At 47.2% G+C, this 12321-nt stretch overlaps 1 protein-coding gene across 7 annotated transcripts in view, besides 2 other annotated features; it reads left to right on the top strand.

Annotated features, from left to right (window-relative positions):
• RASGRF1 (Ras protein specific guanine nucleotide releasing factor 1) overlaps positions 1-12321 on the top strand; it is a 130875-nt gene that overhangs the window by 46113 nt on the left and 72441 nt on the right. For all 7 annotated transcript variants that reach the window (NM_001145648.3, XM_017022456.3, XM_017022455.3 and 4 more), the window contains exon 6: positions 9458-9537. In NM_001145648.3, coding sequence (NP_001139120.1) covers positions 9458-9537 — 80 coding nt within the window. The remainder of the gene's footprint in view (positions 1-9457; positions 9538-12321) is intronic.
• Positions 9230-9730: an enhancer, noted in NCBI's record as "H3K4me1 hESC enhancer chr15:79327280-79327780 (GRCh37/hg19 assembly coordinates)". NCBI's record gives its function as "activates a minimal SCP1, AML or CMV promoter by ChIP-STARR-seq in naive H9 embryonic stem cells {active_cell/tissue: H9 hESC(naive)}" and the evidence as "EXISTENCE:reporter gene assay evidence [ECO:0000049][PMID:30033119]".
• Positions 9396-9485: an enhancer, noted in NCBI's record as "active region_9931". NCBI's record gives its function as "activates an Ori minimal core promoter by ATAC-STARR-seq in GM12878 lymphoblastoid cells {active_cell/tissue: GM12878}" and the evidence as "EXISTENCE:reporter gene assay evidence [ECO:0000049][PMID:35858748]".

Raw genomic sequence — 12321 nt, 5'->3', positions numbered from 1 at the left:
AGCAGGGCAACTGGAAAGATTTACCTAAATCTGTTTTTCCCTTTCTGTTGTCAATACAAGGCAGTCCATAGGGTTGGGCCCCAGCAATGATTAGGGATGGAAGGAATGGGTTGGTAGCCAGCAGCCCCACCAAAGGCAAGGACACTCATCCACTCACTCATTCAACAGACAAGCAACACAGAGTGCCTCCCTGCGTGCTGGGTTCACATATACAGAGTGAGCCATGCAAACCCCACCATCAGGTCAAATGATCCAGCAGATGTTTACCATGAAATGTGGTGAGAACCACCAAAGAGGCTCCCTGGAGGAGGTGGTGTCTGAGCTTAGTCTTTAAGGACATGAGAGAGTTTACAGGAGGAGGAGGAGGAGGAAAGAACTTTCCAGATAGAGAGAACAGCATGTGCAAAGGCCCAAAGATGAGAGTGGGACTTGATTCTGGAGGCAAGAAGGAGCCATCACACATTTCAGGCAGAGAATGTCATGGTCAGGTCTGTCGCAGGAAACTCAGCCCCTCTGCCATGTGGAGGGGCACTCCTTGGGGAGAGTGGAGTATGGGAGGCTGGTAGACAGGCTAAGTGAGCATGGAGGGATTCCAGGGCCTGAGCAGGCATGACTGCCCAGCACATGTTTGCATCCTGCCAGCAGAGGCAAATGTGCATCTGAGTGCACTTCCCTGGTGCCTTGTAGGGGGCTGGATAACTGAAGGCTGGTGGACCCAGAGGCAAAAGTTCGGAAGAGTAATGAGCTCCCTATCACACTAAGAATTCAGAAGAGTAACCCTTTGTCAGAAACATCAAAGAGGTTTAGAAGTTGAATTAGATGCCCTTTAAGATCCTCCAGCTCTGAATAGTGACACTATGACTGTGATGCTTTCAGGGCCTCCTGGGCAGTGTGCATGCCTGCCTAGAACAAAGATGAGTGGCATCCTCCACAGGCTTCAGCCTGAGAAGCTCCCTTACCCATCCCCATCTCCCCAGGTAGCCACTTCTTCATCCCAAGGATGCTGCCCATTTCACCTTCTTTACAATGGGTCCAAGGCCAACTGTTGCCTACTTTAGCAATCTTATTGATCCCAGGAAAAAATAGCAGCAGCCTGGTGAATTCTCAAGACCTCTAGAATATGGACTCTAGAGGTCATCAGAAAAGGCTTCCCCAGGAATGGTACCTGCCTCTTACAGGCACTGAAGGATCAAAGAAGAGACTTGGTGTAAAGTGTTTAGCACAGAGCCCAGCGTAGCCCAGGTGCTCCATAATAATGCACCCTGCAAGAAATCAAAATCAAATATAACATGGAAGGAACACTTCTGACTCATTTTACAAAGTCAGCATTACCCTTATATCACAACCAAATACATCACAAGAAAACTACAGCCCAATATCCCTCATGTGCATATATACAAAATAGCAAAGTGAATCTAGCAATATATAAAAAGAGTAATACATCCTGATCAAGCAGGATCCATCCCAGGAATGCAAGGCTGGTTCAACATTGAAAATCAGTCAATGTAATTTACTCTATTGTCTTCCTAGATTAAGTGAGAAGACCTGGTGGTTATATCAATGGTTGCAAGTCTGACGAGGCTGGTTCCTCTCCTCTACCCTGGTCCCTGTTCTCAAACAGGTGCAAGCCAGAAATCTTTCCTTCCCCAGGGGTCAGGATGGGAAGGAAGAGCTGGAACATGACTGCCTCCAGATCATCCTCGCTTTATACCTGATCACTTAGGGACAGCACAAGCTTCACTCTCTTAAGCTCTATGCTTTTTTGCAAACATAAGGAACTATTTTTTGTGACCTTAAAACAGCCCCCACTCAGCACTTTGCAGGATTGAAGCTTCTGGACTATACTTCCCACACTACAGCAGGGCTTTGTGGGACCTGCATTGTGCTGGGCTCTCTGCCAGCACTTGGCCTGCATGCTTTCTGATCCTCAGAGGCACCCATGAGGCTGGAGCCAGGATCAGAGAGGTGGCAGGAAATGCTCAATAGCACACAGAGAGTGGGGGCAGGCTGGGATTGTAACCTAGATCTGTTTCATGGTAAGGCCCCAGCTTCCCCCTGCTGCCTTGTTAAATAATGGGTTGGAATTCTCTCCAGCAACCCATTTTCCTTGCCCCCACTGCTAATGAGTGTGGGTCATTACAGCACAGGTCTGGGCATGCACCCTCTGTTGGAGAACTCCCCCTTGTGTGTGAGCCCCACCTTTTCACTTGCTGTCCACGCTGTGGGGGCTGATCCAGGATGTGAACCTCACTGCTCTCCCTGCCTCAGACCACAGCACAGAGGTCTGTGTGTCATAAGCCACGGTGGAGCTGCTAGCTCACTTGCTGGAAAGCTTTTTCATATGTAGCTGTCCCCTAGATTTGCTTTTAGGCTGAAATATACAGCCACATTAGAAACCTGGTGCTAATTTGATGATTTAATTTACTGAAGCTCATTTTAAAAGGTCCTTGGGAAGAGAGAAGCCTCTCTCCAGCTTGGCAGATTCATTGAGGATGTTGCAGAGCTGGGGAGGGTGTTAATTGTGTACTTCTCAAATAGGGGGGAAAAGATCTTTGAACGAAACATTTGCAGCAGGCTTTGTTCAGCCAAGACAATAAGCTTAGAGACGGGCTATTTCCCTTTAATAAAAACCATGCCCAGCACCATGTGCAGGGAACCACAGGTGTTGCCCATGACAAGAGGCATCCTGTCCCAGTGGCAGATGGTTTGTATCTTGCTTCCTGCGCTGACTGATTGGCAGTGGCTGCCTGGAGCCCTGAGCTGAGGGAATGATGAGGTTCAGCAGGGGAGCATGCCACAATCAATTCATCCTGTCTGCATGGGCTGGAGGGTGACGAGGGGCAGGCCCTGGAACCCATGATGAGTGACTGGTGCAATGCAACAGGCAGGGTGTGGGGGCAAGAGTGAGGGGGCCTGGTTCTGTCCTGCTCCTGCCCAGTCCTATCTGCCTTGGACTGGCCTTGGGTATGTCATGCCCCTTTCTGGGCTCAGGGAGGGAACCAGGCAAAATGAACATGTCCTGCAGTCAGGCCACTTCTCTGGCTGGAACATTCTTCCTACCCTACTCTCCTTCCAACAGCAGTCCTACTCTTTGTTCATGTCTTTCCTTGGATGCCATGTCCCTGACCACCCCCACATCCCTTGCTGCCATTGGCTTATGTCCCCTTGTCGTGCTGTCCCAGAGCCCCTATGCTTCTCTTTGTTGCATGCATCACACTTAAATAAAGATTTCTTTTTGTGTCTAGGTCTCTCACTATATTAACTGTTCAATATGAATGGGGACAAGGCCATAGATTACAGCTGCACCAGCTGTGCACTGCACAATTCTGGGAGCACCATTCGCATTGCACAGGGGTGGGTGGACTTTATTCTGTAAAGAGCCAGATAGCAAATGATTTAGACTTTGTGGGACATACCATTTCTGTTACAACCAAGCAGTCACAGATAATCCAAAAACAAATGAGTGTGGCTATATTACAATAAAACTTTTCTTTTGTTTTCAACCATTTAAAAATGTAAAAATTATTCTAAGCTCTCAGGCCACGCAAAAACAGCAGCTATGCTAGATTTGGCCCATGAGCTGTACTTTGCCAACCCCTGGCATACACTAGACTGTGAATGGTGCCTACTAGAATTGTGCATCCAGCAGCCTTGATGGGGACTATTTCTGTTTTTATCATTGCTGGAGTTAGACACAGGGAGACCACTGTCTGAGCAAGTGCCTGAAACCTAGTAGGTACTCAATCACTATGTGTTGAATGAGTGAATGGAACACTAGCTCTGCAAGATGTTATCAGGTATTCCATCTTCAAGGGGTCATGTAGATTTGAGAAAGGTGCATGGTATATTCCCCTTAAAGAGTTGCAATGAACTTGGCATTTTAAAAGAATCAATCATTTTTATTTAAACTGTTATAGAACATATGATAAAAGTGGAAAACTTCCCAATTTTTTTTTACCAAAACTTGATTTTAAAAATAGCACATTTGTGTGTGTACAGACTCTCTCTCTCTCTCTAGCTCTCGCTCTCGCTCTGATAAGTAGAAGAGCTATGTGAACAAAGGGGGTGGTGAGAGCAAAGGGAATGGCCTGTGCAAAGGCCCTAAGGCAGAAGAAAGCAAATCCAGGGAACAGAAGGCCAGAATGGTAAGAGGGCATAGGGAAGAGGGAGTAGCCCATGAGACAGACAGAGGCAGTTCCTACAGGGTGTTGAAGGCCAAGTTAAGGCCACTCCCCCTGATTAGATTCAATTTTTAAGAGATGAATCCACTATGTAGAGAATGGGTGGACCAGGGGCAAGAGTGGAAGCAAAAGACCAGTTAGGGGCCCACTGACAACAGTCTAGGCAGAGGTGACAGGGGTGGCAGATGCAACAGACAGAAGACAGCAGAATCAGCAACTTTGATGGAGTAGATATAGGGATGAAGGGGGGAGGGGGTGATAGGTGATTCCCAGGTTCCGTCTGAGAGGCTGGTGGGAAGGGCTGCTATTTAATGAGAAGAGAAGGAGGAGAAGCAGCTCTGTGGGGTAGACCCGAGGTCAGGGTCAATAAAAAAAAAGTCCTAAAAACTATTAGGAGTTCATGTTGTTAAAATATAAGCAAAATCAGGCTGGGCACAGTGACTCATGCCTCTAATCCCTGCACTTTCGAGGCAGAAGGATTGCTTTAGCCAGGAATTCAAGGCCAGCCCGGGCAACATAGGGAGATCCCATCTCTACAGAAAACTTAAAATTAGAATGTCATGGTGGTACACACCTGTAGTCCCAGCTTCTCAGGAGGCTAAGGTGGGAAGATCACTTGAGCCCAGGAGGCCGAGGCTACAGTGAGCCGAGATCACACCACCATACTCCAGTCTGGGGGACAGAGCAAGACCCTGTCTCAAAAAAAAAGAAAAATCAGTAGTTTTTCCCTATATCTACAGCAACCACTTAGAAAATATACTATGAGAAATAGCAACAAGAACATAAACTGTCTAGGAAGAAACACAGGACCTATGTGATGACGCATAAACAAAGACACAGTAAAGTAGAGAGATGCACCTGGATGAAAAGATGTGTGTCGTAAAGATGTCATTTCACCCAAAATATTCTGTAAATTTAATGTAATACCAATCAAAGTGCAGCCTAGCAAAATGATTTTAACATTCAATTGGAAGAATGAATGCATACAAACAGATAATGTTCTTAAAAAACAACAATGAAAGAATTCCCCACCTGTAATTAAAATATATTATAAAGGCTTATAAATATATTGTAAAATAACAAAAACAACCTAAGACTAATCCAAGATCAACAAAATAAAATAGAAAGTCCAGAAAGAGACTTAAGCATATATTAGAATTTTTCTTTTTTTTTTTTTTTTTTTTTTTTTTGAGACAGGGTCTCACTCTGTTGCCCAGGCTGGAGTGCAGTGATGTGATCTTGGCTCACTGCCAGCCTCTGCCTCCTGGGCTCAAGCCACCCTCTCAACCTCCTTAGTAGCTGGGACCACCAGTGTGCACCACCATTCCTGGCTAATTTTTTTTATTTTTTGTAGAGACGGGGTCTCCCTATAGTGCCCAGACTCAAGCGATCCTCCTGCCTCAGCCTCCCAAAGTGCTGACATTACAGGCGTGAGCCACCTCACCTGGCAAGAATTTGGTAACTATGAAAAACCAGCCTAGTAAAAAGCTGGTATATTTGATTAATTGGTTAATCTGGCTAATTGGTTAGCCAGAATTGACAACTGGCTAACCAAACTGAGGGAAAGGCTATGTCTATCTCCCTTATTCATATCGTACACCAAAGCAAACAATAGTTAAGTATTTACATGTAAAAATGAAACAATAAAATAATATATATGTGAGTATGTAAGCAGTTTGGGAGTGGGGAAAGATATGATTCCCCAAGCCAAGCAGAAAGAAAATGGTCTGCCTTACAAGGAAAAATGGAAAAACTTCAGAATAACACCAGACACAAAATCAACAGGCAAATAGCTGAGCAAAGATGTCTACAACATAGATGTCAGACTATACACTTAATATAGTTATTTAAAATTAATAAGAGAGAAGATTAATAAGAGAGAAAATAGCAATGAACATGACTAGGCAATTTTTTAAAAAGAAATACAAATGGCCAATATATAAGAAAAATGTTCAACCAACCCATTAATAATTTGATTTTTTTAAGCAAATCAAGTCAATATGAGATAATTTTTTTAGTTGGCTGGGCAATGATAGTAATTTCTGAGTAGTAGGATTACAAGTGAAATTCTTTAAATTTAACCTTAGAAATGGAGGCTTCATCAACTAAATTTTTATAATTCTAGCTTATGATGTTCCTGATATGCTGCTACACAGGCATGTGCAGTATTGGGATATAAGAAGGTTCATTTCCTCCCTGGTCCATCCTGAACAGTTGTCTGCTGTGCTGAAGCTGTCTGGGAATGGCTAGCCTAACTCTTGCCATGGCAGTACTCAGGGTTATCTAAAAGGATCTAGACATATGTCAAGATCCTATATATCAGGGGTCCCCAATCCCTGGGCCACAGACTAACACTGGTCTGTGACCTGTTAGAATCTGGACCCCACAGCAGGAGGTGAGCAGTGGATGAGCAAGCAAAGATTCATCTGTATTTATAGCCACTCCCCATTGCTCACATTACCACCTGAGCTCCACCTCCTGTCAGATGAGTAGCAGCATTAGATTCTCAAAGGAGCACAAACCCTATCATGAACTGCACATGTGAGGGATCTAAGTTGCGTGCTCCTTATGACAATCTAATGCCTGATGATCTGTCACTGTCTCCCATTACCCCCAGATGGGACCATCTAGTTGCAGGAAAACAAGCTGAGGGCTCCCATTGATTCTAAATTATGGTGACTTGCATAATTATTTCATTATATATTACAATGTAATAATAAAAGAAATAGGCCAGGCATGGTGGCTCACGCCTGTAATCCCAGCACTTTGAGAGGCCGAGGCAGGTGGATTACCTGAGGTCAGGAGTTTGAAACCAGCCTGGCCAACATGGTGAAACCCCATCTCTACTAAAAATACAAAAATTAGCCTGGCATGCTGGGGCGCACCTGTAATCCCAGCCACTCAGGAGGCTGAGTCAGGAGAATCGCTTGAAACCGGAAGGAGGAGATTGCAGTGAGCCGAGATCGCGCCATGGCATTGCAGCCTAGGCAACAGAGCAAGACTCCACCTCAAAAATATAATAATAATAATAATAATAATAGAAATAAAGTGCACAATAAATGTAATACACTTGAATCGTCCTGAAACCATCTCCCCACCGCACCTCCCCCACCCCACCATCCGTCTGTGAGAAGATTGTCTTTGACAAAACCAGTCCCTGGTGCCAAAAAGATTGGGGATGGCTGCCAAATATGGCTCCCTCAAGAACCCCTGAGAGTCCCCTGACCTGACCTCCTTGCCTCCCACCTCAAGTCAGACATTCTTCCTTCTCTGCACTCTCATGCACCCCTGGGTTGGTCTCTTGCTACTGGACATTTTGAAGGGTCTTCACATGTGGACTCCCAAAATTCTTAAAATTGGAACATTTATCCATTCAACAAACTCGTTTGGGGGTCAGAGCCAGACAGAAACCAGCCTTACCAAGGGTCATAAGAAGTTGCTATACCTGGAGGGACTGTCTCTCTTGGAACTTTAGGGAGATGATAGACAATTCACAATACTGGTGGGATCCACACTCAGAAGTGAGAGCTCAAAGTCTTCTCTGCTTGGATTTTTAAGTTCGCATTGGTTTCGGTCTTTCTCAGTTTTCCTTTCTTTCTGTATATTCTCTGGAATGCAGTTGCTAGTTTCGCCCTTTAGCCTGGAGGTGTTGTGTTCTGTTCTGTTCTCTCTCCCTCCCTTTCTTCCTCCCTTCCTCTCTTATCTCCCTCACCCCTTTCTCTCTCTTGCTATCTCTCTCACATCCTCTGTCTCCCCACCCTACCTGTTTCTCTGCAAAGCAGGCATGAGCAGGACATTTCACATCCCTCTGGGGTCCTGAGCCTCTAACCTCTGAGCCCCCTCCATCAACTGGCCCCTGTGCCCTGCCCCCCACCGCCTCAATGCTGGAGCATCTCTGTGCTCACCAAATGTCTTCCACCCTTGGCTCTCATTGTGCTAAGACAGTGAGATGGAGGAGGGCTGCCTCAGAGCACAAACTGCTGGGAGAAGGGCCAGCACCCCAAGGTGGGAAACACCAGGTGCCTCAAACAGCCAAACAAAGCAGTGGAGAAACAGAGGCGGGAGGGAGCCCAGAGCACACAGTGGAGAATGCCGCCAAAGAAAGACAGGAGAACATTCCAGGGACAGAGAGGGTCCGGCCCAAAGGCTCAGGGCTGTCCCTGACTCCTGAGGTACTCACTTTCTCTCTCTGGGCCTCAGTTTTCCTATCCATAAATGGAGTGTACCACAAAGAGCCTAGGGGGCATCTGGGGAAAACCCCCACGTCTCCAAGGCGGTAGGAGCTAAGGAGCAGAGGGAAAATGGTTGGGCAGGAAGGAATAGGAGTGCCTTCAGGAAGCAGCAGAAGCCGCCTCGCTCTGGTGTTCTCTCAGTCCTCACAGCTTGTCCTGGGAGAGGAGACGCCCGGACTGTGTTCTGGGACCAGCTGCTTGGGGAGCAGTGGATGGAAAACGGGTTGGGGGGAAGGCCGGGCAAATGTGGCTGCCTGTACCCAGCCCGCGCTAAGCTGCCAATGAGAATACGAGTTCAGCACGTTACGTGGCGACAAAACAGGGGCTTTGCAAGCAGCGGGACTCTGGGTCTTTTGGCTTCTCTGACTTTGATTCCAAACAGCGGGGGCGGTCACTGGGTGTTGGGAAACTAGCGTTTTCTGAGCGTCTCCTGTGCACTGGGCACTCGAATTGTCCCATTGCTTCCAGGGGATTCCTCATTTCACCTTCATATTTTACACAGAAGGACTCGAGGCTGGGAGACCTTAGATAACTTATTCATGGTCTCACAGCCGGGAAGGGGCATCAGGCAGATTTCAGCCCCCCTCTGTGCTAATCCCAAACTCTAGCTCTTCCGTTGATCCATGGCTTTTACTCGTGTTTGCCAGAGCCCTGGTTTCCTCCAAGATACCTTGGGGGAGGGGGTGTGGGGCCCAGCAGGCCGGGACTTGAGGAGACAGAGGCCACTGGCCAGAGCAGCTCCCTGCCCTCTGCCGGCCCGTGGATGTGCCACCCCATGCATAGACGAGCCTGGGCTTGATTTAATGCTGTGCTGTCACCATCTGGGAATGCTTAGTGATTCTTTAACCAGGGGCCTGCATTCTCATTTAGCACCACCAGGCACCCCCAGATTATATGATCCATCCTGCCGGTGCAGTTTTCACGTTAAGGTCTCACATGAGAAAAGGGTTCGCTGCTGAAGTCACGCAGGAGGTTTGGGGACAGTCACCTCTGGAGCAGCAGGAAGTCCCTGGGGCAGAGCTGACCCTGTGCTTTCTCTTTCAGCGAAACCATCATGTTTTTACATCAGATCTTTTACCAAGGCCTGAAGGCCCGCATCTCCAGCTGGCCCACGCTGGTCCTGGGTGAGTAGTCAGCCCTCACTGCGGCCCCCAGAGAAGTCCCCCTCCAGGGGCCACCCCAAAAGCCTGGGGCAGTTTTGTCCTTCTAGAGCATAATAGAGTGTCACTTTTTAAAACCCACAGAATCCCTCAGAGGGGGCAGAAGAGAAAAGACAAGTTGGCAAATGCTGTATTTCTAAGAGGAAATGATATATTTTTAGTTTCCTATCCACTTTCCCCTTTTATAAAGAATGTATACACATCCATTTAAGAAAAATTGAGAACCCATAAAAGTAGAAAATGTTTAAAAATATCAAGCATAGTTCTGCTTCCCAAAGATAACCACTACAAACACTTTGGTGTGTTTTCTTCCAATTTTTTTCTGTGCATAGATCTTGGGTTTTTTTCCACTTTACATAATTGCAAACATACTGAATATAGAATTTGTATCTTGCTGTGTGTTGTTTTTTTTTTCTTTTACTTAGCATTATCCCATAAGCATTTTCTCATGCCAAAAGCATGCTTTTTGATCGCTGTGTAATACTCCAGTACCCATGAAGGCACTGTCATTTATCTAACCATCTGCTATGGTTGGCTCTTAGAGTTGTTCCAATTTTTTATTGTTAGAAGTAATCATCTCTTCATAAGAAATTTTCTCCATATTAGAGATCATTTCCTTGGGATGGGTTTCCAATGAGCAGAATTGCTAAAACAAAGAATCCAAACATGTGAAAAGCTCTTGCTTCATACATATTGTCCCATTGTTCTCCAAGATGGCTGCACTGCTCTAGTTCCACAAGCAACAGACAGAAGAACCTCCTGCATCTCACCCTCAACCTACACCAAATGTCTTTCTTTTTTTTTTTCACTTTCTTAATTTGGTAGATAAAGGTGAGTGTTGGTGTCATCTCCATGATGGAGGCAAAGAAAATGGCTTAGGGAAGTAAAGGAATAGCAAAGGCTGCATAGGTGGAGGGCACAGAGCAGACCCAGGCCTGGCTCTCCAGAGCTCCCTTGCCCTCAGGCATGGAGGCTTCCCAGGGGGAAGTAGGCACTATTATTTTTCTCAAGTCAAAGACCCGTGTTTTTCTCTAAGGTCAAAATAAGGTGTCCTTAGAAAGATGGGGTCCGCATATTCTGCAGTTGCATTGTTGAAGACATTGTCCGTCAGGTGGTCAGACACCCATCACATGAGCTACCCTCTAAAGTTGATTACAAGGAAACCATGTTTCCTTTCTTAAATGGGACTTATAAGAAGATGTTTTGGCCGAGCACGGTGACTCATGCCTTTAATCCCAGCACTGTGGGAGGCTGAGGCAGGCAGATCACCTGAGGTCAAGAGTTCGAGACCAGCCTGGCCAACATGGTGAAACCCCGTCTCTACTAAAATTACAAAAATTAGCCAGGTGTAGTGGTGCACACCTGTAGTTCCAGCTACTCGGGAGGCTGAGGCAGGAGAATTGCTTGAACCCAGGAAGCAGAAGTCGCAGTGAGCCGAGATCTCACTACTGCACTCCACTCCAGCCTGGGCAACAGAACGAGACTCTATCTCAAAAAAAAAAAAAAAAAAAAAGAAAAGAAAAAAGAAGAAGAAGATGTTTCAAGGCCAGGCACAGTGGCTCACGCCTTTAATCCCACCACTTTGGGAGGCCAGGGTAGGCAGATCACTTGAGGGCAGGAGTTCAAGACCATCCTGGCCAACGTGGTAAAACTCTATCTCTACAAAAAACACAAAAATTCAAAAATTAGCTGGGTGTGGTGATGCACACCTGTAGTCCCAGCTACTTGGGAGGCTGAGGTGGGAGAATCACTTGAACACGGGAGGCAGAGGTTACAGTGAGCCGAGACCGCACCACTGCACTCCAGCCTGGGCAACAGAGCAAGATTCCATCAAATAAATAAATAAATAAAGATAAGGAAGATGTTTCACATGACCCCATCCCAGCCTATCAAATCGTTGAAGGGCAGATTTGGGGAGATTGGTTGGGACTTGGGGGCACTGGAAAGGCAAAGTATATACCCAGGAAGCTTGAGACAGAACTATAGGCAGAAAGGGCCCCACCTGGTGAACTAGATAATGCAGAGCCTGGAAGCCCTGCTTGGACAATGGCAGATGAACGAAGGAGCAGAGACTCATGTGTCATATGGTAGGAAATCCCTGGAATCAGGAGGTCAGGAGACCCAGCCCCAGGCCGGCTGCTGACTTGCCCTGTGACCTCAGATAGGCCACTTCTGTCTCAGGACGGAGACTGCAGGAGGGAGGGTGGCCTCTTGGGGAGTGTCCTAGGCCATAGCACCATAGGGCACGGGGACAGGCAGAGGGAGGAACTGGGCAGCCTTCCAGCTGCAACAGAAGCCTCAGCCGACCCCACAGGAAGCTCTGGAGAAGGGGTGACCTCACACTGGTGTCCTGAATTGAAGCAGGAGGACAGACCAGGCAAGGCAGCTTCCTCCAGCTGAGGGCAATGCCTGGAGAGGGACCCAGCTGACAGCCATCGGCCACCAGCACTCCTGGCAGCTGGGGGGATCCAGGTGGCACCCCACAGCGCCCACTCTACCTCCTCTCTCTGACACTCCCATCACAAGTGTCGACTAGACAGGGCCCCACGTCTCTAAGAGTCTGTGATTCTAATGTGGTCCCAATGATGGGGGCCCACCTACTAGCACTGGATAGGGCAGTGGTACTGGAGTCATCCCCAAGAGCAGAGATGTCTCTGGGGTGGGGAACTTGAACCTGGCCCCTGGCCTCTCTGGGTGTAGCTGGGGGAGCCAAGGGCCTAGGGGATTCTGTCCCCACCAAGCTGCCCT

The sequence above is a fragment of the Homo sapiens genome, chromosome 15, assembly GCF_000001405.40.
Source record: "Homo sapiens chromosome 15, GRCh38.p14 Primary Assembly".
Classification (NCBI taxonomy): Eukaryota; Metazoa; Chordata; class Mammalia; order Primates; family Hominidae; genus Homo; species Homo sapiens.
This window is presented reverse-complemented; position numbering and strand designations above follow the sequence as displayed.